The sequence below is a fragment of the Homo sapiens genome, chromosome 1, assembly GCF_000001405.40.
Source record: "Homo sapiens chromosome 1, GRCh38.p14 Primary Assembly".
Lineage (NCBI taxonomy): Eukaryota > Metazoa > Chordata > Mammalia > Primates > Hominidae > Homo > Homo sapiens.
The window spans coordinates 225,865,514-225,889,515 of record NC_000001.11 but is presented as its reverse complement, the minus strand read 5'-3'; the positions used below and the strand labels follow the sequence as shown (position 1 = coordinate 225,889,515).

The window sequence follows — 24,002 nt, the reverse complement described above, 5'->3', positions numbered from 1 at the left end:
CTGTCAGTTGTTTGGTTGCAGCAAGGAACAAGACTCTAGGTCCACTTACCAGCAGCTGGGGGAACTGAGCCTCTTGCAGAGAACGAGAGCCCCACCTCTACTCTAGGAAATGAGCTTTTTAATTTAACTGGTCAGGCCTCAACCCACATTAGGGGTTCATGACCATTGTATAGACAGCTGTAGCCAGCTGTTCACAGCCCAGACAGACTTGCCCTATCTAGACAGCCCCCTCCTCCCAGCTCAGGGACTCGTCTGGCTGTGAGCTTCCAGGAGGTCTCAGGGGTGTGACCTCCCTCCCTCCTTCCCTCCCCACTCCCTACCTCCTCCCTCCACCCCAGGCTATAAAGCTGCCCAGGCTTGGCTCTCAGCACATCCAGCTGCCTGAGACCCTCCTGCAGCCTTCTCAAGGGACAGCCCCACTCTGCCTCTTGCTCCTCCAGGGCAGCACCATGCAGCCCCTGTGGCTCTGCTGGGCACTCTGGGTGTTGCCCCTGGCCAGCCCCGGGGCCGCCCTGACCGGGGAGCAGCTCCTGGGCAGCCTGCTGCGGCAGCTGCAGCTCAAAGAGGTGCCCACCCTGGACAGGGCCGACATGGAGGAGCTGGTCATCCCCACCCACGTGAGGGCCCAGTACGTGGCCCTGCTGCAGCGCAGCCACGGGGACCGCTCCCGCGGAAAGAGGTTCAGCCAGAGCTTCCGAGGTGAGGCCCTCCCTCCCTGCTGCCCCTGGTCCCATGGGGCAGGTCAGATGTGCCCACTCCGGTGGTGTCAAAGGGCTCCTGGCCTTGCAGAGGTCTGTGGGAGGCTGAGTGAGGGCCACGGTCTAAGGGGCAGTGAGGTGGGGCCGGGCCTGTGAGGATGGCGGGGCCTCAGCATGCAGCGGTGCATGCAGTCAGGACTCCGGGGGTCTGTTTTCGTACTGCCACTCTGGTCTGAGTTCTACTTGGAGCATATTGCTTTAAAATCATCTCACAACCATTTGCTCACATGGAACTGGGGTATAACTATGTCTTGCCCATCTTCCAGCATTGTGAACATCAAAATGAGTCATTGTAAATAGAAGCGTGTTTGGGTAACTGAAAAATACTGCACTTGAGTAGACAACCTGGGTTATACCTGGCTGTCAGGGGTGCAGCGGGCCTGAATCCTCCTGCAGCCGGCCTGAATCCTCCTGCAGCCTCTCGCCTCCCTAGCTCCTCAGTGCCCAGAGCTAGACCCAATGCCAGGCACCTGGGTGAGGATTCTGCTCCCAGCATCTCAGCTGAGGCAAACTTGCTAGCCAGGGTCCCACAGGCGCCCCTGCCTGCTGGATGGAAATTGTTACTAAACAAGGCCCAGATCCAAGGAAGATTTGTAAACTGGGTTTGCCCCAGAAATAGAACAGGGCCGGTGTCTCCTGGCCTGGCTGCCAGCTCAGTGGCCCTGCCATCCTCAGAGCTCCCCTGGAGTCGGGGGAGGCCCTGCTGACCCTGCTCTTGTCCCCAGAGGTGGCCGGCAGGTTCCTGGCGTTGGAGGCCAGCACACACCTGCTGGTGTTCGGCATGGAGCAGCGGCTGCCGCCCAACAGCGAGCTGGTGCAGGCCGTGCTGCGGCTCTTCCAGGAGCCGGTCCCCAAGGCCGCGCTGCACAGGCACGGGCGGCTGTCCCCGCGCAGCGCCCGGGCCCGGGTGACCGTCGAGTGGCTGCGCGTCCGCGACGACGGCTCCAACCGCACCTCCCTCATCGACTCCAGGTGGGGGTCGCGGGGGCGCGCAGGGTAGGGGGAGGGCGCTGCTAGGCCCGGCTTGGGGGCGGGGACGCGGGGGGGCGGTGCGGGGTCCTCGGGGCCCGTCCCAGTCCCCGCCCTCAAGCGGCGCTGGGTCTCTGTGTCATGTCTCAGGCTGGTGTCCGTCCACGAGAGCGGCTGGAAGGCCTTCGACGTGACCGAGGCCGTGAACTTCTGGCAGCAGCTGAGCCGGCCCCGGCAGCCGCTGCTGCTACAGGTGTCGGTGCAGAGGGAGCATCTGGGCCCGCTGGCGTCCGGCGCCCACAAGCTGGTCCGCTTTGCCTCGCAGGGGGCGCCAGCCGGGCTTGGGGAGCCCCAGCTGGAGCTGCACACCCTGGACCTTGGGGACTATGGGTAGGTGCTGAGGGTCAAACTGGTAAGCCGGAATAAAGAGACAGGCAATTACATTTATTTTGAAATGGACAACTTTTCAGAGTGCTGTGGGAATGAATGAGACAATGTATACAATTCTTCCTCTGACTCTTAGGAGATCCTCAGTAAATATCGGTTATTAATTTTCAAGTTATTTCTAGCTGTCCATCCTATATCACAAACATCCAGCTTTTTGAAGTTGAGAGGTGGATCATAAATCTCCATCCCAGACGCCCTCTGACCTCAGCCCTCCCAGCTGACCGCTGACCCTGCTCTCTTTGCCCACACAGAGCTCAGGGCGACTGTGACCCTGAAGCACCAATGACCGAGGGCACCCGCTGCTGCCGCCAGGAGATGTACATTGACCTGCAGGGGATGAAGTGGGCCGAGAACTGGGTGCTGGAGCCCCCGGGCTTCCTGGCTTATGAGTGTGTGGGCACCTGCCGGCAGCCCCCGGAGGCCCTGGCCTTCAAGTGGCCGTTTCTGGGGCCTCGACAGTGCATCGCCTCGGAGACTGACTCGCTGCCCATGATCGTCAGCATCAAGGAGGGAGGCAGGACCAGGCCCCAGGTGGTCAGCCTGCCCAACATGAGGGTGCAGAAGTGCAGCTGTGCCTCGGATGGTGCGCTCGTGCCAAGGAGGCTCCAGCCATAGGCGCCTAGTGTAGCCATCGAGGGACTTGACTTGTGTGTGTTTCTGAAGTGTTCGAGGGTACCAGGAGAGCTGGCGATGACTGAACTGCTGATGGACAAATGCTCTGTGCTCTCTAGTGAGCCCTGAATTTGCTTCCTCTGACAAGTTACCTCACCTAATTTTTGCTTCTCAGGAATGAGAATCTTTGGCCACTGGAGAGCCCTTGCTCAGTTTTCTCTATTCTTATTATTCACTGCACTATATTCTAAGCACTTACATGTGGAGATACTGTAACCTGAGGGCAGAAAGCCCAATGTGTCATTGTTTACTTGTCCTGTCACTGGATCTGGGCTAAAGTCCTCCACCACCACTCTGGACCTAAGACCTGGGGTTAAGTGTGGGTTGTGCATCCCCAATCCAGATAATAAAGACTTTGTAAAACATGAATAAAACACATTTTATTCTATAATTTTGTAATTTTCTATTTTATTTTAATTAATTAATTATTTTTGAGACAGAGTCTCACTCTGTCACCCAGGCGGGAGTGCAGTGGCCCAATCTCGGCTCACTGCAGCCTCTGCCTTCCAGGTTCAAGCGATTCTCATGCCTCAGCATCTTGAGTAACTGGGATTACAGGCATGTACCACCACGCCAAGCTAATTTTTTGTATTTTTATTATTATTATTATTGAGACAGCTCTGTCGCCCAGGCTGGAGTACAGATGGCGCTATGTTGGCTCACTGCAAGCTCTGCCTCCCGGGTTCACACCATTCTCCTGCCTCAGCCTCCCGAGTAGCTGGGACTACAGGTGCCTGCCACCATGCCTGGCTAATTTTTTGTATTTTTTAGTAGAGACAGGGTTTCACTGTGTTAACCAGGATGGTCTCAACCTCCTGACCTCGTGATCCGCCTGCCTCGGCCTCCCAAAGTGCTGGGATTACAGGCGTGAGCCACTGCACCTGGCCTAATTTTTTGTATTTTTAGTAGAGATGGGGTTTTGCCATGTTGCCCAGGCTGGTCTGGAACTCCTGACCTCAAGTCATTCGGCAGCCTCAGTCTCCCAAAGGGCTGGGATTACAGGCACAAGCCACTGTGCCCGGCTGTAATTTTCCATTTTAATCAAAGCTCTGCAAATTGAGGAAGGAGCAGAAAGTTCTACAGCGATTAGGTCAACCTGATTGTAAAACTAAGGAAGGAGCTTGAGTTGGCCAAGACTTGGTAAAGATCTTGGTTAGGTAATACATGAAACTAGGATTAAAATGCTTTCAGGGCCAGCACGATGGCTCACTTCTGTAATCCCAGCACTTTGGGAGGCCGAGGTGGGCGGATCACTTGAGGCCAGGAGTTCAAGACCAGCCTGGCCAACATGGTGAGAGTGCATTTCTACTAAAAATACAAAAATTAGCTGGGCATGGTGGTGTGCGCCTATAATTCCAGCCACTCGGGAGGCTGAGGCATGAGAATCGCTTAAACCCAAGAGGCGGAGGTTGCAGTAAGCTGAGATCACACTACTGCACTCCAGCCTGGGCAATAGAGTGAGATTCTGTCTCAAAAATAAAATAAATAAAAATAAAATGCATTCTGATTCTAGAATCTATGGTACCTGCCCTCCCAGAATTGATACAGAAATTTCTTTTTTTTTTTTTTTGAGACGGAGTCGCCCAGGCTGGAGTACAGTGGCAGGAGTGCAGTGGCGCGATCTCCGCTTACTGCAAGCTCCGCCTCATGGGTTCACGCCATTCTCCTGCCTTAGCCTCCCGAGTAGCTGGGACTACAGGTGCCCGCCACCACGCCCGGCTAATTTTTTTGTATTTTTAGTAGAGATGGGGTTTCACCATGTTAGCCAGGATGGTCTCTATCTCCTGACCTTGTGATCCGCCCACCTCGGCCTCCCAAAGTGCTGGGATTACAGGCATGAGCCACCGCGCCCGGCCAATACTGAAATTTTTTTGTTCTTGACACTTTGACTTTCCTGGGCATAGTGACTGGGCTTTATTCCAATCCTACTTGCATCAAAATAAAATCTGTGATCAAAATTATCATCTATACTTAGAGAAGAAAATAAAGCTTCAGAGGATCTGGAATTTATAGCTGTAAGAGCTGTGCAGCTGGGCGCGGTGGCTCACGTCTATAATCCTGAGGATCACCTGAGGTTGGGAGTTTGAGACCAGCCTGACCAACATAGAGAAACCCCGTCTCTACTAAAAGTACAAAATTAGCCGGGTGTGGTGGCACATGCCTATAATCCCAGCTACTTGGGAGGCTGAGGCAGGAGAATCGCTTGAAGCCAGGAGGTGGAGGTTGCAGTGAGCTGAGATCACACCACTGTACTACAGCCTGGGCGACAGAGTGAGACTGTGTCTCAATAAGTAAATAATTAATTAAAAATTAAAAAATAAAATAGTGATTTTACAAGCACTTCACACAACTGACATAACAAAGGCTGTGGCTATCTCAACTCACATATCGATCCATCAAGGCCTTCTCTTGATTTTGAAATAACCTTAACCTACTCAAGAACAAATTTAGAAATCCTTTCTCTCTCTGAAATCTTTGTCAGTGGCTCCAGCATTCTAATTACCAAGACCGGAACCTTGCACTTGCCTGGACCCATGGCACAGACCAGACAGGTGGGGGCACCATTCATTGAGGAAGGAAGGAGGACAGGCAGGTGCGGGAGTGGGGAGTGGAAGAAAGATTGGACAGGGACAGTCTAAGGAGCCAACGGGGAGTCCAGGGGCCACACCCAGGACTCTGCAGACCGTCAGATGTGGAGGTAAGAGAGCAGGGAGGGGGGATGGCCAGGCGCAGCTATGGAGGGACAAGGGCAGAGATGATACTGGCGGGGGGCATAGAGGAAAAACCCTGGAAAATAACTAGTGGCTAGAGCTTTGGGGAGAGAAGGGGAAAGACAGATGGGACAGAAAAGAACTGAGAGAGGCAGGAAGAGACCCTCCCCACCCCACTCCTGGACAGCCACAGACTGGCGCTAGAATCAGGGACAGGGAGGTAAGGAGGAATTTTTTTTTTTTTTTTTTTTTTTTTGAGACAGAGTTTCGCTCTTGTTGCCCAGGCTGGAGTTCAATGGTGAAATCTCAGCTCACCGCAACCTCCGCCTCCCAGGTTCAAGCGATTCTCCTGCCTCAGACTCCCTAGTAGCTGGGATTACAGGCATGTGCCACCACACCCGGCTAATTTTGTATTTTTAGTAGAGACGGGGTTTCTCCATGCGGGTCAGGCTGGTCTCGAACTCCAGACCTAAGGTGATCCGCCCACCTCGGCCTCCCAAAGTGCTGGTATTACAGGCATGAGCCACCGCGCCCGGCCATAAGGAGGATATTTTTATGCCGTTACAGAAAAAGATGAAAGCTCAGAAATGGAAGGGAGGTCGGAGAACCTGCAAAGGCATGCATGTGGGGTGAGGACTGCTCAGAGCTCAGAGAGGGGTGCTGGAAGGGACCTGAGAGGAAGCTTTGGTCCAACCACTCATTTCACAGATAGGGAAACAGGGGCCTGCGGACGGGTTGGTTTGCTCCTTGATTCCCAGGGCGCGCGGTCCTCCCCGAACCCAGCCTCGCTTCCCGCGCAGCGCCCAGCAGTCCCTGGCGCGGCGGGCCGGCCCTGCCCTCGCGAGCTTGCGGTCCGGTTGTGGAGGCCACCGGCTCCCTGGAAACATTTGGCTCCCGGCCGGGAGGCATGCCGCGCTCTCGGACCTGGGCTGGAGTAGGTGCCCTTGGCGGCCCTGGCTCGAGCAGTAATGGACTAGCCCCAGGGGGCGTTGGAAATGCTGCGACCCGCCCCCACATTTTTGCCCGAACGGAGACCCTCCGGGCTTTCACGGTCCGGCCTTCTACAGCGGCGGGGGAGCCGTGGCCTCTTGCAGGGCGCTCCGCGCGGTTCCCGACTACCCGGAGCCGAGGTGCGGGCTGAATCCTGCTGAGCTCCCCATGCTACCACCCCCGCAACCCCACTCTCCCGGGGCGGGTCTAAGAGCTCTTCGGGGAAATTCAAAGCACTACAGGGACCAACGTTTGCAGATGCTCTCCCTGCGCCGCGACCACCCTGTGCTTGGCCCAGTTCTCCCGGAGGCGTCCAGAGACTGGGCTCGTGCCGGGGGACGGAAGAGGGTGCGCCCCGGCGGATCCCTTCTTGGAGCCTGGACGTGAGCTGGCCGGTCCGGGGCTTGCAGACCTCCGGGAGGAGCTGCGGGGCTGAGCGGCGACCAGGAGGCCAGGCCGGGGCAGAGGACCGCCGAGGGCCACCGCGGGAGGCGCAGTCAGCTGCGTACAGGCTTGCGCCGCCGCGGGCCAAGACTCCAAATTGGGAAAGGGGTGGCCGCAGCTCTGCGCATGTGCAGGAGGCGCCGGAGTTTCACTTTGTAACTTTTAAGTGGTCGGAACACGCCCCGCGCTGCTGGGTCCCGCCAGACACGCCGCCGCCGCAGGTACAGGGGACAGGGGGCGTGAGGAGGGGCAATGCACCCTCCGCCTTTCCCGGGACGTGCGCGCCAGGTGTCCGGTTCCGGAACGGCTCCCAGCCTACGCAGACCCCAGAGCCCCCGACCCCAAGCAGGGGGTGACGACGCGGGATTGGGTGGGAGGAGAGGGTCCGGGCAGCGCCTCCATTCCAGCCCTGCGCTCCTTGGGAATTCCTGGCGGCTTTTCAGGACTTTCCTCTCCGGCTTTTCGCTTTCAGGGCTGGTATCTCCTTCTTCCCCACCCCTCTCTTTGGGATTTGTCGGCGGAGTCCGACCTCCCACCTAACTAGGAGTGCAGCTATGGGCTCCTCGGACCCTATACGAGGCCGGGCTGGGAAAGGGCCAAGCGTCCGACTCTCCTGACGCCAGGAAGGCAGAGGCCACCCCTCGGGCTGTTCCTGGGTGACCACTTCCTGCAGCCTTGGCGGAGTCCTGAGGAGGGAGGCTGGGGACTCGGGGACTGGGGGGAAGGGCGGGGGCGGAAAGGGTGAGGCGAGCTCTGCTAAGAAACCAAATCCGCAAAGGTTCCAGCACCTGATAAGACTAGCTACCTGAGGCCCTGGAGGGGCCTTGGTCATTCAGCCCCAGGCAGGTGGTGTCCTCTTCAAGGGCAGGGGTGGACAGCGTGGCGGACCCACTGACCCTCCCTTGACACCTCTCAGGTCATCCTCAAGTCTGCTGTGCCTTCAAGGGGGATATGAACGGAAGCCGAGGCTCCTTTTCCCTTCACACGCCCCTCTCCTTTGTTTAGTGTGGGGGCAAAGGTCTCTCCTAGCTGTTCGTTGGGCTCTAACAGAGAAGACGTCAGGTGGGATCCTGCCCTTGTGTTTCCCATTAGCTGGAGGGGCGACTTAAAATAAAGGCAGACAGCTTCTAATTGCTTGCTAGGGCCGGGTCCTGGGCTAAGTGCTTTACAGGTGTTGTTTGGGATCTGTGCCTCCCAACAGCTCCGTGAGAGAAAGTCATCACTCGCATTTCCTGGCGAAGGAAGCCAAGGCACAGAGTGGTTAGGCTGCTTGTCTGAACTGCGTGGTGCTGAGACCCTAACTCCAGAGCCTGCTCACATAATCCCTGAGCCACACTGCCTCTGGTTTCAGCCAGGGGCTGTGTCATTTCCTTTGTGCTCCAGGGTAGGAGGTAAACAGTTGTCCAGGTTACTGGGTCCTGTTTGGTGTTGCCATAAGGAGAAGTTTGTACTTTACTTTGCAACCTTATTCTGCATCTGAAAGACCAGAGTTAGCTCCTGAGGCAGAAGGCCTGGAGCTGCTTGTAGTTTCGCTATTGTCATCACAGGATTGAAAGATTTGGTGATGATAAAATTACCCTGAATTTGTACGGGCCTTCTTGCAAGAACGAACAATATCCATATACTTCCTGCAACATTCTGCTGGTATTTCTAGAGCTTGTCAAGTTGACCACCAGGCCAGTCCTTGCTGCCAATGGAGACTGGCAGTGGATTAGCATAGGTAGTTTACTTTGGCAAATTTAGACCAGCTGTTGGATTTAGCCCTCTCCCACTGGCCACAATCAGACGCTTGCCTGCACATGGGTTGAACTTTGGGTTGGGAGCGTGAAGTCACCTGCTGCCCACTCTGGCTCTTGGGCCTCAGCAGTAATTCTTGGCTTTCCTACCCTCGGCATATTGAGTAGGAATAAGGGGATGAATGGAGAATTTCTGGAAGGCACAGGTAAGTGCTAGGCATTCACATACATCTAGGATGACTGAATATTGCCAGGGGTTCTCAGCCAGGCAGTGCCACTTCAACCACAGTGCCTAGCTGCTGGTTTGGCCTCCTCTATACAGCTGCCAGCTGGGTGCTCCCCTCCCCCTGCCTTCTCCTCAGCCTGGCAGCACTGTCCCATGGTGTCTGTGTTCCCAGCTGCCTGCTCAGAGCGTGCCTGTTTGTGAAAATGCAGAGGAGCTGTCCCATGGAGAGCCAGAGGGACGGAGCTGTTTCAGGGGGATCTGGACTTTATGTGTCTAATGGGCAGGGACAGGCTGGGACTGAGCTGAAAGGTCTGAGAGAGATTGTGGGTCCCCAGAGCTCTACCCTAACCTGGGTGCTCATCGGAGAGGGCAGACAGGACTGGCCACCTGACCTTACCTCCGTCTCAGGCTGATAGTATTTGCTAGCCACCTCCCTGAGTTCATATCAAACTTTGTCAAACCACCCTGGGAAGCCTATTTGGCAAGAGACAAGTAACTTAGAGGCATGACTGGGGCTGGAGGGAGGGGGAAGAGGAGCCGCAGGTGTTTCCCTCCGCAGAGGCCTCTCTCCTCTGCAGCACTGGCGAGGGTATGCCACTCCCAGCACCACCACAGCACCCTCCCCTTTCCAGGGACAATGCTCTCTCTGTGAGCATTTTATGGGGATGTTTTTTCTTTCCACTTCACATTTCAAGCCTTCCTTGTTCATGCTGCTGTGTTCCCTTTTCCTGATTCTAGCTCTTGGGGAACCCTGGGGAGCCTCCCCAGTAGCATTGGCCCTTGGGGCCCAGGTGAAGTCCTTTGCTTGGGGCCCTACCGTGAGCCCACAACCTCCAGGGTTTCTGTGGGAGAGGGCTGCTCCCCTAGACCCAGCAGGTCCCTGAGCCATTGGCAAAGAGGAGAGAGGCTGGGGCCACAGGTGGTGCTGGCCGAGGAAGGAGGAGTAGGGTCGCACAGAGGAGCACTGATGGATGGAGAACCAGTTCTGGGAGTTTGGGGAGAGATCAAGGCAGGAGGGAGCCCACTGGGCAGAACCTAAAGGTCCATATGGGCAGCATGCATACACAGGTGTGTGCTGGAGGGTTTCCATCCAGACCCCTACACTGGAAAAGGGTGGCTCCCATGTGATGCTTGGTGTCTGTGATCCTTCAGGAAAGTCTACAGTTTGGTACCCCAGGACTCGCTGGTCAGGAAAGCCCTGCAGGACATGAGTGTTAGGCCCGACGCCTGGCCCTTGGCAGCTTGGGAGGTGGCTGGGGCTGCTTTTGCCTTTGCCAGAGACAGCTCCAACTGAGGACCTCTCCAACGGGCCCATCCACAGTCCTTCCTTCCCCTAGTGTCTGGTAAGTGTGGGGACAGGAAGGAGGAGGGGTAGGTGGTGGCCTTGAAGTGTTGGGCTGGTGTGTTCCATTGGGTGGTGCCACTGGGGGATTTTAAAGGGAAGCCAAGAACATCTGTGTTCCAGAGGTCACTCTTGTGACACTCTGTTCAGAGTCAGCAGCCCCATGACTCTGGCATCACAACCCCCACTACCTCCAGCCATTGCCAAGTCTCTTAGAAGGTTGAGAAAGTCACTTGGCTGTCTGTGGGATGCTCCCATGTTCTTGGGCTTTCCACTCATTCATGCTTCCTGTGCTTCGTGTGTGTGTGTGTGTGTGTGTGTGTGTGTGTGTGTGTAGGTAGGTAGGTAGGTAGGTAGGTGTCCATGTGTGATTGTCCCCAGCACTCTAGGCCTAGGGGTTACCCAACATACACACCTCACCAGCACTACTGGTATCCAAACATCTGTTTGGGTTCTCTATATCTTTTCTTCTTGTTCTCAAGATCTTTGTCCCTGTAACAGCTAGAAGCACCAGACTTAGCAGAAAAATCCCCTGGGAATTCTAGATTTACCAGATTTGGGCAGGTAGGATCTTAAGCAAGTCCAGGCTGAATATGTGTTCTGGCCCTTCAGCCACAGCATGAGAACTTGGACACTAACTCCCGGTCCTCTGGTGTCAGGGGACAGACACTGGAGATTTCTATTAGCTTCACCAGGGGCGCCAGGAGCCTCAGGAAGGAAAGGTCAACAACCCAGCCTGGAGCAGTGTTTGCTTTGGAAATGCTGGGCCTTGCAGTTAGACTGATGGTACCCAGGAGGGGTATGTGTGTGTGAAAGCGCAGAGCTAGGGGACCCAGAGGTCCCTGAGGAGGCCCTGGGACTCCTGACTCCCTCCCCGTCCCTACCCTAGACCACCCCCTTTACTTTCTCCTCTGTGGCAAAGTAAAAAGAGAAGTGGCATCTGAGAGTCAGGATATTGGGTTTGGGATTCAATTCTGCCCTGACCAGCTCCTTAACCTTAACTTTGGGGCAAGTTATTAAACCTCTGAGGCTTGGTTTCCAAGTATAGCAGATGGACCCATCTCTGAGGTCCCAGCTCTGACATTCTGTGAGCAGTGGGAGTGAGGTGTTGTCTGTGGCTCGTGGATGGACCATCGTGAATACTTGGATGTTCCCTTCTTCCCTGGTTGTTTATCCCGGTGTTTTCCTCTTCCTGCCTTTGTGTGCCTTTCTCCCTCTCCTCTGCCTGTACTCTAGATCCGCCAGTGGCTTCTGCAGGAGTGACTTTCCCAACACGAGTCCTCGAGGCTAGAGGAACTTTAGGACTTCTTAAGACAGCAGCTGCAGCAACTCTGTCCCTCCTTTGCTCCATGTCGCCCCCTCTGGGGATCTGCCCACTGTGTCCTGGATGAGCCATCCACTCTGACCATCTGATCCCCTGAGATTGTCCCACAATGCAGCCATTCTCTGTGGACACTGCCAGGCACGCAGAGGTCCAATGTCTGGCTCTCCCGGACTCCTTGCTGCTGGCTCACTGCCCGATCAGTCCCTGGGAAACGCCTGCCTTTGGCTCTGCCAGCACTGGTGGGAACCTGCAAGAAATTTGAGCCCTGAACGTCTGCCTTGTCCTGTTGTCCTGTGCTCCAGGGAAGACAGGCGCGATGATGGACTCCCCGTTCCTGGAGCTGTGGCAGTCCAAGGCAGTGTCCATCAGGGAGCAGCTGGGACTCGGGGACCGGCCCAACGACTCCTATTGCTACAACTCGGCCAAAAACAGCACCGTGCTCCAGGGGGTCACCTTTGGTGGCATCCCCACTGTCCTGCTCATAGACGTCAGCTGCTTCCTGGTGAGAGCCCTCATGAGTCGTGTCCCACTGCCTCAGTTATTTGTTTAAATGCCCCACCCAGGGCCTTCTGGGAAACTTAGATGAGAAGTCAGACATAGCTGGGTTTAAATCTCAACTCTGCTGCTTACCAGCTCTGTGACTTAGGCGTGTTACTTAGCTTCTGTGCACCTCCCCTTTCTGCTCCGGAAATGGAGATCATAATTCCTATCTCAGAGAATTTTGGAATTTGGATAAGGCCAGAATACTCATATAGCTATGCCTGTGATTACTACCGTGATTGCAGAGCTCTCAGCCTGTCGTATCTTTAAGGCCCTTGGGAAGGGTCATCTCAAGGGGTTGAGACATGTGACTGGAGAGTACGGACTAGAATAGAGCAGCTGCAGTTCCCAAGTGTCACCTCCTGTTCCCCTCTGGCATCCCTGGGGTTTTTAAAGAATCAGAAGCTGGGCCAGGTACGGTGGCTCATGCCTGTAATCTCAGCACTTTGGGAGGCTGAGGCGAGTAGATTGCCTGAGGTCAGGAGTTCGAGACCAGCCTGGCTAACATGGTGAAACCCTGTCTCTACTAAAAATACAAAAAATTAGCCGGGTGTGGTGGTCGGCGCCTGTAATCCCGGCTACTCTGGAGGCCGAGGCAGGAGAATTGCTTGAACCTGGGAGGCAGAGTTGCAATGAGCCGAGATCACGCCACTGCACTCCAGCCTGTGCAACAAGAGCGAGACGCTGTCTCAAAAAAAACCAAAAAAACAAAAAAAAGAATTAGAAGCTGATTCTTAGAGCGTACCTTCAGCAGGTGGCCTTTCTTTAACGTAGATCTCCTTGTTCACAAAGATGCCCCATGGCATTGTTCTTCCTTATGCAGACTCAACGTTGGCTGGCTGAGATTTATTGGGGTTAAAGTGCCCCTTCTTTTCACAAATGCCATGGGCTGGCCAGTGCCTCTTGATACTGTCTCCTAACATGTGGCAGAGACCATCTGAGTGAAGGGGGCAGATGGCTCTGATGGAGTAAACATCCTTGGACTGCTTGGAGCTGGAGACTAGGCTCGGGTGGGGAACATGGGGAGGGTGGCTTAGGGTAGCAAGGAGGAGTGGGCAGGGGTGTGGGGGTGGATTTCAGAATTGGTGGGATTAGAGGAGGGTGGCCTTGGGTCTTCAGGGTGGGGAGAGTTTGGCCAAGGTGAGGAGTACAGAGAGGGGGACCTGGGCAGGGACCCTAGCTGGGCTGGGTGGGTATTGTTGCAACAGTGTTGGCTGAGAAGAGAGTCACCCTCTATTGTGCTGCTGAAGGTGAATTTTTTTTTTTTTTTTTTTTTTTTTTTTTTTTTTTTTTGAGACAAGGTCTCACTGTCACCCAGGCTGAAGTACAGTGGCATAATCACAATTCACTGCGACTTCCTCCTCCTGGGCTCAAGCAATCCTCCCACCTCAGCCTCCTGCATAGCTGGGACTACAAGCACATGCCACCGTGTCTGGGTTATTTTTGTATTTTTGGTAGAGATGGGATTTCACACCATGTTGCCTAGGCTGGTCTCAAACTCCTGAGCTCAAGCGATTCACCAGCCTTGGCCTCCCAAAGTGCTGGGATTACAGGAGTGAGCCATGGTGCCCGGCCAGGGGTGGATTTTTATTGCAGTAAGTTTTGGGGGTGGGGGAGGGGGGACACATAAGAGCCAGAGGGCCCTGGAGAGCATGGGTTTGTGGGAAGTGTCTGCACTGCACAGGCCAGGGCGGCAGCCGCTGTGGACAGAGAGGGCAGGCACCTGCTGAGCAGGTTTCGTGGTTTTCCTACAACATGACTCACCTGCCTTTGAAAATATGTCACCAACTTCCTGATTCACCTGAAGAAAATTCCACGAGAACTCAGTGCCTCTGGGGTTCAGGTCTTCTGGATTTCCTTTAGGAAAACAAAGCCTACCTTCAAAACCCCCGTTTCTGATCAGAGCAGGCAGGGATGTGCTTACTAAGATGTATTTCTCTACCTCCCTGAACCTCAAAGAGAGGGACCCTGTCTAGGGAGGGAAGAGAGGCAGGAACATGGCATGGAGCCTGCCAAGGTGGACTGTGGGGAGTGAGGACAGTCTAGAGTGTACAGATGTCTAGAGCTAAGCGGCTTAGTCCAGCCCTGAGGTTGCCATTGGACACAAGCTTGCTGAGGTGTCCCAGCTTACGGAGGCCAAGCCAGCCCGAGCACAGGTTCTCGTGGTGCCTTGCTGCCTGCATGCATGCTCTCTGCTGGGGGATTGCAGGGCCTGCGGGGCCTGCCTTCAGGGGAATCAAACTCAGAGGAAAAAACTGACCGTTTCTGGCTCAGCCTGAGGAGGCTCTGCTACCTTGGTTCTGTAATTTAAAATGAAATTTTCTGGCCAGCATGGTGGCTCACGCCTGTAATCCCAGCACTTTGGGAGGCTGAGGCAGGTGGATCACCTGAGGTCAGGAGTTCGAGACCAGCCTGACCAATATGGTGAAACCCTGTCTCTACTAAAATACAAAAATTAGCTGGGTGTGGTGGCGGGCACCTGTAGTCCCAGCTACTCTGGAGGCTGAGGCACAAGAATTGCTTGAACCCGGGAGGGGAAGTTGCAGTGAGCCGAAAGAAAAAAATTTTCTGTAAAGTGAAGAAGGATGCTGGTTCCTGGGGCTGCTCTGGGGCCAGACCTTACCCTCCTGCTCGGGGCCACTGAAGGCAGAGCAGGGCCCGAGACTGGGCCTTGTGGTGTTACCGCTGCCTTGAGAGCAAGAGACAGGGCTGACGTGCAGAACTAGGCAGGCTCCAGGCAAGCTTGGCGTCAGCGCTGGCAGCCTTGGTGGCGTGGGCACAGGTGACAGGAGCCTGGTGAAGGGGGTGAGCAAAGCATCCGGGCTACTGAGCTGCATGGCCTTGGGCACTTCAGTGCCCTCTCTGGGCCTGGGTGTTTTCCTTCTAGCCCTGCTGAGTGCGGGCAGGTGGGCTTTACCCCTGAGACCGCTGTGTCTTCTAATGAGAAGCCATCCAATATGCTTTTACTTGGTTTCTTTTCTGTTTTTAGTTCTTAATCTTGGTGTTTTCTATTATAAGAAGAAGATTCTGGGACTATGGCCGCATTGCCCTGGTGTCAGAAGCAGACAGGTAAAGACATATCGCCTAGGCTGTGAGCATGCGTGTGCGTACGTGTGAGTGTGTATATGTGCGTGAGTGTGTATATGTGCGTGTGTGCATATATGTGTGTATAGTGTGTGTGTGTGTGTCCCTGGAATGGGCTAGGGGCTTATGAAGCCCTCCATGTGGGCAGGACCCACACATGACACTGCTATGAGATTGTGTTCATTAAGTGTATCTACCTGGCCTGTACCAATAGCTGTTCTCTTTGCTCTTCACCACAGACCCATGAGGTCAGCCTCGCTACCCTCATTGTGCTCACAAAACAAAAAACAAAAACAAAAACCCAGGCTCAGATGCTCAGCTCCCTCAGGGCTTCTGTTGGGCCAAGGCTATGAACCTTGTTGGCTTCAGACTGGTTGCTTTAGATACTGAGGGCTTTCGTCATCCTCTGAAGAGGATGCCCATTTTCTTTCTCACCTTGAGTATTTTTAAGTGATCATCTTTGAAATTAATTAGCTTGGGGCCAGGGCTGAGTGAGGATCAAGGGCAGCAGAGCCATCAGGGAACTGCCCCACCCTCCTGCCAGGTCAGCGCCGGGTTTGGATGAGTCTGTTACAAAGCACAGGCTCCCTCGGCCAGGCTTCAGGTCCTTCCAGTTCTGCGTGGGGCTCCAGGATTCTCTGTTCATGTCGCCTGAAGGGTGACAGTGAATTCTGGATCTGCACAACCTGACGTTCCAGCTCCAGCTGGCTGTTTGCACCCAGGATCTTGTGTCAGATGTGGTAATAGGAAGTGAGTGATGAAAACTCAGGGACTGGCCCCAGCTGCCACCCAGAGCCCCAGAGGGGCTCTGGCAGACCCTCCACTCTCGGGCGCCTCCTGACATGTGGCCTGTGCGGCAGGGTCCTTTGAACTGGGAAGAGGAGGTGTACCTGAAAATGCACCATCTTTCCCCGTGATCCCTGCTCTGGGATTTGCTAAAGCCTGAGGTGATGATGACCTTGGACTGTTGGAGAGAAACTTTTGGGACATCTGATGCCTTTACGGCACATTCAGCTGGAAGTGGGGCCATGTACTCTGGTTGAAAAGACCACCTGGGGATCAGAGGGCCCTGCTGTATCCCTGGCTGTGCGACCTTGGTCAAGGCCCCAAACTTAATAGGGTCGGTCTCCTTCTGTCCTCTCTTCCCCATGAGGTCACGGTGAAGGTCAAAAGGGACAGTGTCTCTGCAAAGGCTTTTAAAGTTAAGTTTCGTCATGTGTTTTGTCTTTAGTAGGGGGGCAGTAGAACCAGGAATAGGAGACTAGAGAAAAGGAGTCACAGCCAGGCATGTTGGCTCACACCTATAATCCCAGCACTTTGGGAGGCCGAGGCGGGGGTGGATCATGAGGTCAGGAGTTCAAGACCAGCCTGGCCAAGATGATGAAACCCCATCTCTATTAAAAATACAAAAATTAGCCAGGCATGGTGGCGGGTGCCTGTAAGCCCAGCTACTCGGGAGACTGAGGCAGAGAATTGCTTGAACCCGGGTGGCAGAGCTTGCAGTGAGCCAAGATCACCCCACTGCACTTCCAGCTTGGGTGACAGAGCCAGACTCTGTCTCAAAAAAAAAAAAAAAAAAAAAAGAAGAAAAGCAGTCACATATACGTATTGCAAACACCTCAGATTTATAGCGCATGGGGTGTTTTTATGGGGGTACTCGCAAGAAAGGATCTGATTAAAATGCCACAATATAAAGTGCCATCATTTGTCCACTCTAAAACATATGTTTTGACATTTTCTCATCTCTGAAATTGGAAGGCATCTTGTTATTGATGGGTGGTCATAGTTTATTTGGCAGCATTTTTTCTTTAGTGTTTCATAAAATAATTGTGCAAATTACAACCAGTGGTATCTTAGATTTGATAAAATGTAGTATTTATTCCAAGTTTTATTTGATAATATAGGGAAATATGCTATAAATAGGCAACACTTTGAAGTCAGTTTAGCTAGACGAGTCACAGTGGTGTGGTTTCTGGGTGTTGACCCCTTGCTATTCATCCCGTATAACATAGAGTTTTATACCATGCCTGGGAATGGTCATTGTCCTTGTCTCTATCTTTCACAGAGTGAGTTATATTTTGTCCCAGCCATCGAGGGCTGGTAGCTTTGGTTCTGAGCTCCAAGAGGCAGCAAAATACTGGATGTGATCTTTTTGACTTGTTTGGCTTTTTTTTTTTTCTAAGAATTATCTGTCATTTTTTTTCTTTTTGTGTCTCTAGCGAGTCCAGATTTCAGAGATTGTCATCGACTTCCTCCTCAGGTCAACAAGACTTTGAAAATGAGCTGGTTGGTATCTAAGGCCCAGTTGTGGTCATGGCCAGGGGGTGGGGACTGGCAGTCATGGTTTTGGGGAGGGAGCAGGGCGGATCTTGAGCGGCAAGTGCTGGAGAAAGTGCTTTTCTGCATCGACGAAGGCACCTGAACTTGGGAAATACCACAGGAGGGATGGCAGCTGGATGACCCGGGACCTTGAGACTGGATGAATTTGCAGGCAGGAAGGGGTACGGAATCCCTTGGGCTTCCCCAGCACTTCTCTCTCTTACACCTATGGCTTTGTATGACAGTTAATTATGGACTTGCTGGCTGGATTATGAGCCAGATGTGGGCAGGAGCCCTGCCCTCTCCAGCCCTGTTTCCCAGCGCCTGATGCATAGTAGGTGTTTAGTCATTGTTGAATGAATTATTGAACAAATATTTGTCTTTCCTAGCTGGATAACAGCCCAGCTTTAGGGGTATTAAGTTTAAGAGATGTGAAGGACAATAAAACCTGCAGACACCCTTTCCCCCTAACACCCACTCCAGCGGACCGTCCAATCCATTAGGCTTGTTTCCTCTCTTTTGCCTCACCTCTTGGTCAGTGATTGTAAACAATCAAACAGCAGCCCACATCACTTTGCCCAGAGCTGCCCTGAGCTTTCATCAGCTTTTGATCTAAGTTTTGTGATTTGACCACGAAGTTGTCAGGAGATTTTAGCAAGAGTTCCAGGCATGTGGTGTATATTGTGAAGTACTGGGCTCATGCTTGCTGAATATGGGATAAAAGCACTGTTTTTTATACAACAGGAGGTTAAATGGTTATTTAATGTCAAAGACAATGGTTACATCTGCCTCTCAAAGACACAAATGTTGGAAGCTAATCCCTGTTCTCTCCGTTTCCAGGGATGCTGTCCCTGGCTGACTGCCATCTTCCGTCTGCAGTGAGTACACCCGGGGGCAGCTGCTGGGGGGCCTTTGGGCTGGTTTTTTTGGGTGTTTGGCCAGTCAAGAGGCAAGAGCCAAGATGCTTGATCTTAAGATGGTGTCTCTTAGATACTTTTTAGTTAATGTCCAAAGCAGTATGTGAGGGCTGAGAATCAAGGTGACCAGGCAGCCCCTGGGGTCAGGGGCAGAGGAAGGAGGCCTGTAGGATTGGAGCCTCCATGCTGGAGGGCACACAGTGCCTGCTGGAGCCTGGGGCTTCCCAAATTGAGCTGGATCCCAAGAGTTCTTGAAGATAGAGATGAACTTTATTTATTTCAACATATTCAGTGGAAATCATATGTTCATCTCTCATAATACTGCACAAACTAATTAAAGCTATTTTTTTGCTTTAATTATTCAACTTAATATTTAACACCAATTAGATGTCAATGGACGCTCTCATAGGCAGGTTTGCATGTCTTTGAATTAGTGAAAAGTGAAGAAATATAATACATTCAATTCATTTGGTTACAAGTTTTCTTTTTTTCAATGGGGCCCATGGAGAGAAAGCTAAAAGATTATTAAAGGTGATTAAGAGCCAGTTAGTTACCTCTCATGTGGTGTAGGGAGCCAGGAGGCGGGGGGGGGCGGGGACTGATGTGAGTCTTGGTTCTCACCTGCTGCCATATTCCATTGAATCTAAGAAGTTATTGTTGTAAGATGCATGTTTTTTTTTTTTTCAGACCGAGTTTCGCTCTTGTCGCCCAGGCTGGAGTGCAATGGCACGATCTCGGCTCACCGCAGCCTCCGCCTCCCGGGTTCAAGCAATTCTCCTGCCTCAGCCTCCAGAGTAGCTGAGATTACAGGCATGCGCCACCATGCCCAGCTAATATTTTTGTATTTTTAGTAGAGACAGGGTTTCTCCATGTTGGTCACGCGGATCTCCAACTCCCGACCTCAGGTGATCTGCCTGCCTCGGCCTCCCAAAGTGCTGGGATTATAGGCATGAGCCACCGCGCCCGGCCCAGGTGCATGTTATTTTATATAGCACTAAGAACAAGAAAATGTTGTCAGCTAAGCTACCATCAACTATAACGATAGCGTACACCTCATTTCAGAGGAGTTGAAATATGGCCGGCTGCGGTGGCTGACGCCTGTAATCCCAACGCTTTGGGAGGCTGAGGCAGGCAGATCACGAGGTCAGGAGTTCAAGACCAGCCTGGCCAACATGGTGAAACTCCGTCTCTACTAAAAATACAAAAATTAGCCAGGCTTGGTGGCGGGTGCCTGTAATCCCAGCTACTCGGGAGGCTGAGGCAGGAGAATCGCTTGAAACCGGAAGGCGGAGGTCGCAGTGAGCCAAGATCACCCCACTGCAACTCCAGCCTGAGTGAAAGAGCAAAACTGTCTCAAAAAAAAAAAAAAAGAAAAGAAAAGAAATATGAAAATGATATCTTAGAATTGATGAAATGTGGTGGTTATATAATGAAATATGGTGGTTATAAGGATGAAATGTTCTGGGCCTCAGTTTTCCCAACTGTAAAAGGAGGCTGAGGATAACATATGCTCAGCCTAATTCAAAGGAATGAATACATGTGAGAGCATGTTGTAAATGTTCGGTTTGGTAGGAGTTGTTCCCAGGGGAACTGGCAGGAGACAGAGCCCCATGGGAGACAGTCAACTCTGGTCTGGAACAGGAGGAAGCAGGAGGCGAGTTAGTTTATTTAGAAATGAGAACAATGTAGTTAATTGCAAAGCTTTGTCCTCTAGATAAATAGTAATCAGGACTCATATGAACAGGCATATTTCTGAGCATCTGCTGATACCACGTACAGGACTAGGTGTTTGATGCTTATTATCTCTTGAGCCCCTGCTAAGCTGATGAGGTAGGCAGTGGGCAGTTTCCTTGCTCGAGGTCAGAGGCGGGTAAGCTCCATGACCTGCCCTCAGGTGGAGGCCGCTGCGCTGGATTACACTGTGGTCTGACTGCAAAGCCCACGCTGACATCTTTCACATCTGCCTTTTTATGATGCAGCCCTTGCCCCCCTGAGCTCTTCCCAAAGCACTGCTTTCCCAGCCTAGAAGTAGCGCCTTCAGGGAGTGGGAAAGAGCAGAGTGCCCTGCCCCTTCTCCCTCTGTAGCACAGAAGTCTGGCTTGTGTGAACCTGGAAATTTCTGAGTCCCCAGTGGACCCAGAGCCTCCAAGTGTAGCACTCCAAGGGTGGGAAAGGGTGGAGCAAGTCACCTCCCCATCTCTGGGGACACAGGGAGGAGGCCAGGGTGGTAGGATGGACTGGGACTCTTGGCTCCACCTCAGGTCTCCATCTGAGGGGGAGACAGGAAACAGGTGGGGGCCTGGGGCCTGGGCATATTCCCAACTTTATTCTTTTTTTTTTTTTCTTTTTTGAGATGGAGTCTCACTGTGTCACCCAGGCTGAAGTTGCAGTAGTGGGATCTCGACTCACTGCAACCTCCACCTCCCAGGTTCAAGCAATTCTCCTGCCTCAGCCTCCTGAGTTGCTGGGATTATAGGCATGTGCCACCACACTTGGCTAATTTTTTTTTTTTTTTAGTATTTTTTAGTAGAGACAGTTTCACCGTGTTGGCCAGGCTGGTCTCGAACTCCTGACCTCAGGTGATCCACCTGCCTCAGCCTCCCAAAGTGCTGGGATTACAGGTGTGAGCCACTGCGCCCAGCCCTAACTTTATTCTGAATGTGATTTCTTAGAAGCAGGACAGGGCTGTGAGATGACTGTATTTACGTACCTTTCCCACACACGTAACTTGGGCACAAATGTTTCTAGCAACATCAGATGGAGTGCTGGTATTCCTTTACCTCGAGTATGGTACAGGGGCTAAGACGGGCTCTGGAATTTATATCATGTGAGATCCTGAAAGTTATGCAAATTTCCTGTGCCTTTATTTCCTCATATGTGAACAAAAATGTGGGGATAGCGATCGAACCATCTCATAAGAGTGTGGTGAGGATGATATGAGACACTTCATGCAGAGCCCCGAGGCCTGTTCCACTGCTCATTAAGATTCCTCTGTGTCTTGGCCAGTGATGACCAGATCCTGGAATGGTGTGGGGAGGACGCCATCCACTACCTGTCCTTCCAGAGGCACATCATCTTCCTGTTGGTGGTGGTCAGCTTTTTGTCCCTGTGTGTCATCCTGCCTGTCAACCTCTCAGGGGACTTGCTGGGTAATGACCCTCCTCACCCTTGTCTATGTTGTAATGGGGCAGAGTGGCAGTCCTAGGGAAAGGGCTCACTGTGGTAGACCAGAACCCCAGGAGTCATGCCCCACTTCAGATGTAAGATGGTCTCAGGGTGACTCTGAACATTTCTATCTGATTAAAGATCTGGAGCAAACCTAGGCTAAAACTGGGGCCCCAATATCAATGTCTGGTTCTATTTAAATAGGGAAAAAAGCCCCCCAAGATTTACAGAATCAGGGGCTATCAGAGAGTCTTTTATACTTTCCTGCCCTCACCCAAATTAGGAGGTCACAATTAATGGACCCAGAAGATATCCATGATACTTAATTAAAATCAGGGTGTGGCATTATATCTAAGGGCAACTGCAAGAATCCACCTTCCAAAATGCCACCATGAATCCACTTAGGATACCCAGTGGTTCCCAACGTTGGTTTTGTAACAACATAGGATGTTTTTAGTTTTCTCAAAACAAAATGAATTCACATTATGCCTTTACCTGCAATGGAAGGTTGAGAAGTTATCAGGGAGCATTTTGGTTTCAAGCAGAGGCCTTGATGGTGTAGCTCTGGAAAGACCAGTCAGACGTTGTCTTCCTGCTGGTCCAGACATGCTCCTCCTCCCCAGAGCTCCACAAACCAAGGCTGATTGGTTACGCCCCCTCCTGCTTCCCCACATGACCCTGGAACTAAGTATCTGTGCTTCTCTGCAGACAAAGACCCGTATAGTTTTGGGAGGACAACAATAGCAAACCTACAGACTGAGTGAGTATGGAGCCCGTGGGGATAGGTGCTGATGGGTGAGATCAAGGAGAAGGCAGGTCAGGAGCCCGGGGCAGGCCAGAGGTACTCCAAAGGGGGCCGGCTGGTATCTGAAGGCCCCTTGCAGCTAGTGAGTTGTTGAGCTGTGGGCATGAACACGCCACAGGCAGACACTGTTTTGCCAGGGTTTTAAGAAACACGGAGGGTCCTGTGGATCTGGAGTTCATTTGTCAGGACAGGGATGGGGACCCCTCTGAAGTATTCACTGTGGGCTGAGGGGTGCTGGCCACACAACCTCTGTGGGAGGCATCTCTTGCAGTGAAGCTGTTGGTCCTCAGTTCAGTGCCCACTGAGGGTAACCAGGCCCCAGCTCTGCACCCCCAGCTCCCTGCCTGGGATCCCAGCCCTGATGGCAGGTGGTTTCCCTCTCAGCAATGACCTCCTTTGGCTGCACACCATCTTTGCTGTCATTTACCTCTTCCTCACTGTGGGTTTCATGCGGCACCACACTCAGTCCATTAAGTACAAAGAGGAGAACCTGGTGAGTGAGGCGGGACTTAGGGACATGTGCTGGGAGGGACTCAGGTGGGAGTCGGAGTGGAAGGGCCTCCCAGGCTCTGCCACAGGCCCTGACTGCAATGAGCTCTGGGAGGGCCTCAGGAGCCCCGCTTGCTTATTCTTGCTCACACTTGGCACCATCTTTAAAAAAAACAGTTTCCTGGTGGATTGTTTCAAGATTTGGACAGTTACTGGTGCTAAGTAAAGAAATTTGGGTTGAGAGCAGCCCTTTCTCTTTGCCGCCCACAGCTTCACAGGGGAGGGGAGCTTCTGTGGCTTGGTTCCAGGCCTGGGTCCTCCTCTGATCTGCTGTGTGACCGCATTTGAGTCACTTCCCCTCTTTCTCAGTCTCCTGCCATGCAAAGAAGGCTCATAGAGTTGCTTTGGAAGTGGATTCTTTGTACAGCCTGGAAGAAGACGCTGTGTAAATGACATGCTTTGGGGGCTCCCCCGGCCACAGAAGGAGAAAACTGGAGCCTTCTGATTTCCTGTTGTTTACTTTCCAGAGGCTGGAGTTGGGTAGGAAACCTGAGCATACCGGCACACTGGCTTGTGGGTGACTTCTCTCCCTGCTGTATTTCCCGGACAGGTGAGGCGGACCCTGTTCATCACAGGACTCCCCAGAGATGCCAGGAAGGAGACTGTGGAGAGCCACTTCCGGTAAGCAGGTGGGGTGGGAGGGGAGCTGAGCCCCCTCCACGTAGGACCAACACAGCCCCACCCGCAGGGCGAGCACCTTAGGTGAGCGCCTTCTGTCTCTCGCTTGGGTATCCAGGTGAGATCTGAGAAGGACCTGGCCCTGCCACACGTGTATGGAGTGGCTCCTGTGTGCCAGCCCTGCTGGTGCTGTGCAGTGAATAGCGCCCTGGTGGCCTATCCTCTTCAAGCAGCCTGTGCACAGTGTCCAGAGCACAGACCAGGGTGTAGGTGCGAATAAACGTCTTGAGAGCATACGGGGGAAAAAATTGTTGACCCCGGGGTTCTTAGCATCACCTTTGCAGAATAAGAGAGACGTGAGCTGAGCATTTGTATGGACCCACAGG

At 53.0% G+C, this 24,002-nt stretch overlaps 2 protein-coding genes across 9 annotated transcripts in view, besides 6 other annotated features; both read left to right on the top strand.

Moving 5' to 3' along the window:
* The first annotated feature begins 369 nt into the window (after positions 1-369).
* Positions 370-3,234, top strand: LEFTY1 (left-right determination factor 1). The gene is made up of 4 exons (NM_020997.4): positions 370-699; positions 1,484-1,730; positions 1,878-2,117; positions 2,426-3,234. Exons 1-4 carry the CDS (start codon positions 450-452, stop codon positions 2,787-2,789), a joined length of 1,101 nt encoding a protein of 366 aa, NP_066277.1. The 5' UTR covers positions 370-449; the 3' UTR covers positions 2,790-3,234.
* Positions 1,655-2,371: an enhancer, noted in NCBI's record as "H3K27ac-H3K4me1 hESC enhancer chr1:226074845-226075561 (GRCh37/hg19 assembly coordinates)". NCBI's record gives its function as "activates a minimal SCP1, AML or CMV promoter by ChIP-STARR-seq in naive H9 embryonic stem cells {active_cell/tissue: H9 hESC(naive)}" and the evidence as "EXISTENCE:reporter gene assay evidence [ECO:0000049][PMID:30033119]".
* Positions 6,218-6,267: an enhancer, noted in NCBI's record as "active region_2633". NCBI's record gives its function as "activates an Ori minimal core promoter by ATAC-STARR-seq in GM12878 lymphoblastoid cells {active_cell/tissue: GM12878}" and the evidence as "EXISTENCE:reporter gene assay evidence [ECO:0000049][PMID:35858748]".
* Positions 6,328-6,377: an enhancer, noted in NCBI's record as "active region_2632". NCBI's record gives its function as "activates an Ori minimal core promoter by ATAC-STARR-seq in GM12878 lymphoblastoid cells {active_cell/tissue: GM12878}" and the evidence as "EXISTENCE:reporter gene assay evidence [ECO:0000049][PMID:35858748]".
* Positions 6,888-7,047: a silencer, noted in NCBI's record as "silent region_1862". NCBI's record gives its function as "represses an Ori minimal core promoter by ATAC-STARR-seq in GM12878 lymphoblastoid cells {active_cell/tissue: GM12878}" and the evidence as "EXISTENCE:reporter gene assay evidence [ECO:0000049][PMID:35858748]".
* TMEM63A (transmembrane protein 63A) overlaps positions 7,136-24,002 on the top strand; it is a 41,825-nt gene continuing 24,958 nt past the window's right edge. For 3 of the 8 annotated variants that reach the window (XR_007065257.1, XR_949163.4, XM_047435144.1), the window contains exons 1-8: positions 11,922-12,121; positions 15,149-15,228; positions 17,463-17,529; positions 18,403-18,440; positions 21,486-21,628; positions 22,353-22,404; positions 22,834-22,942; positions 23,549-23,619. Coding sequence is in view for 5 of the 8 variants with exons in the window: in XM_047435144.1 (XP_047291100.1) it covers positions 11,936-12,121; positions 15,149-15,228; positions 17,463-17,529; positions 18,403-18,440; positions 21,486-21,628; positions 22,353-22,404; positions 22,834-22,942; positions 23,549-23,619 (746 nt within the window). In the remaining 3 variants the exon portion in view is untranslated. Of the gene's footprint in view, positions 7,213-10,105; positions 10,297-11,921; positions 12,122-15,148; positions 15,229-17,462; positions 17,530-18,402; positions 18,441-21,485; positions 21,629-22,344; positions 22,405-22,833; positions 22,943-23,548; positions 23,620-24,002 lie in introns of those variants that run through there. The other 5 variants (NM_014698.3, XM_011544330.4, XM_047435145.1 and 2 more) reach the window with 5 other exon arrangements.
* Positions 7,608-7,727: a silencer, noted in NCBI's record as "silent region_1861". NCBI's record gives its function as "represses an Ori minimal core promoter by ATAC-STARR-seq in GM12878 lymphoblastoid cells {active_cell/tissue: GM12878}" and the evidence as "EXISTENCE:reporter gene assay evidence [ECO:0000049][PMID:35858748]".
* Positions 8,580-9,530: an enhancer, noted in NCBI's record as "H3K4me1 hESC enhancer chr1:226067686-226068636 (GRCh37/hg19 assembly coordinates)". NCBI's record gives its function as "activates a minimal SCP1, AML or CMV promoter by ChIP-STARR-seq in naive H9 embryonic stem cells {active_cell/tissue: H9 hESC(naive)}" and the evidence as "EXISTENCE:reporter gene assay evidence [ECO:0000049][PMID:30033119]".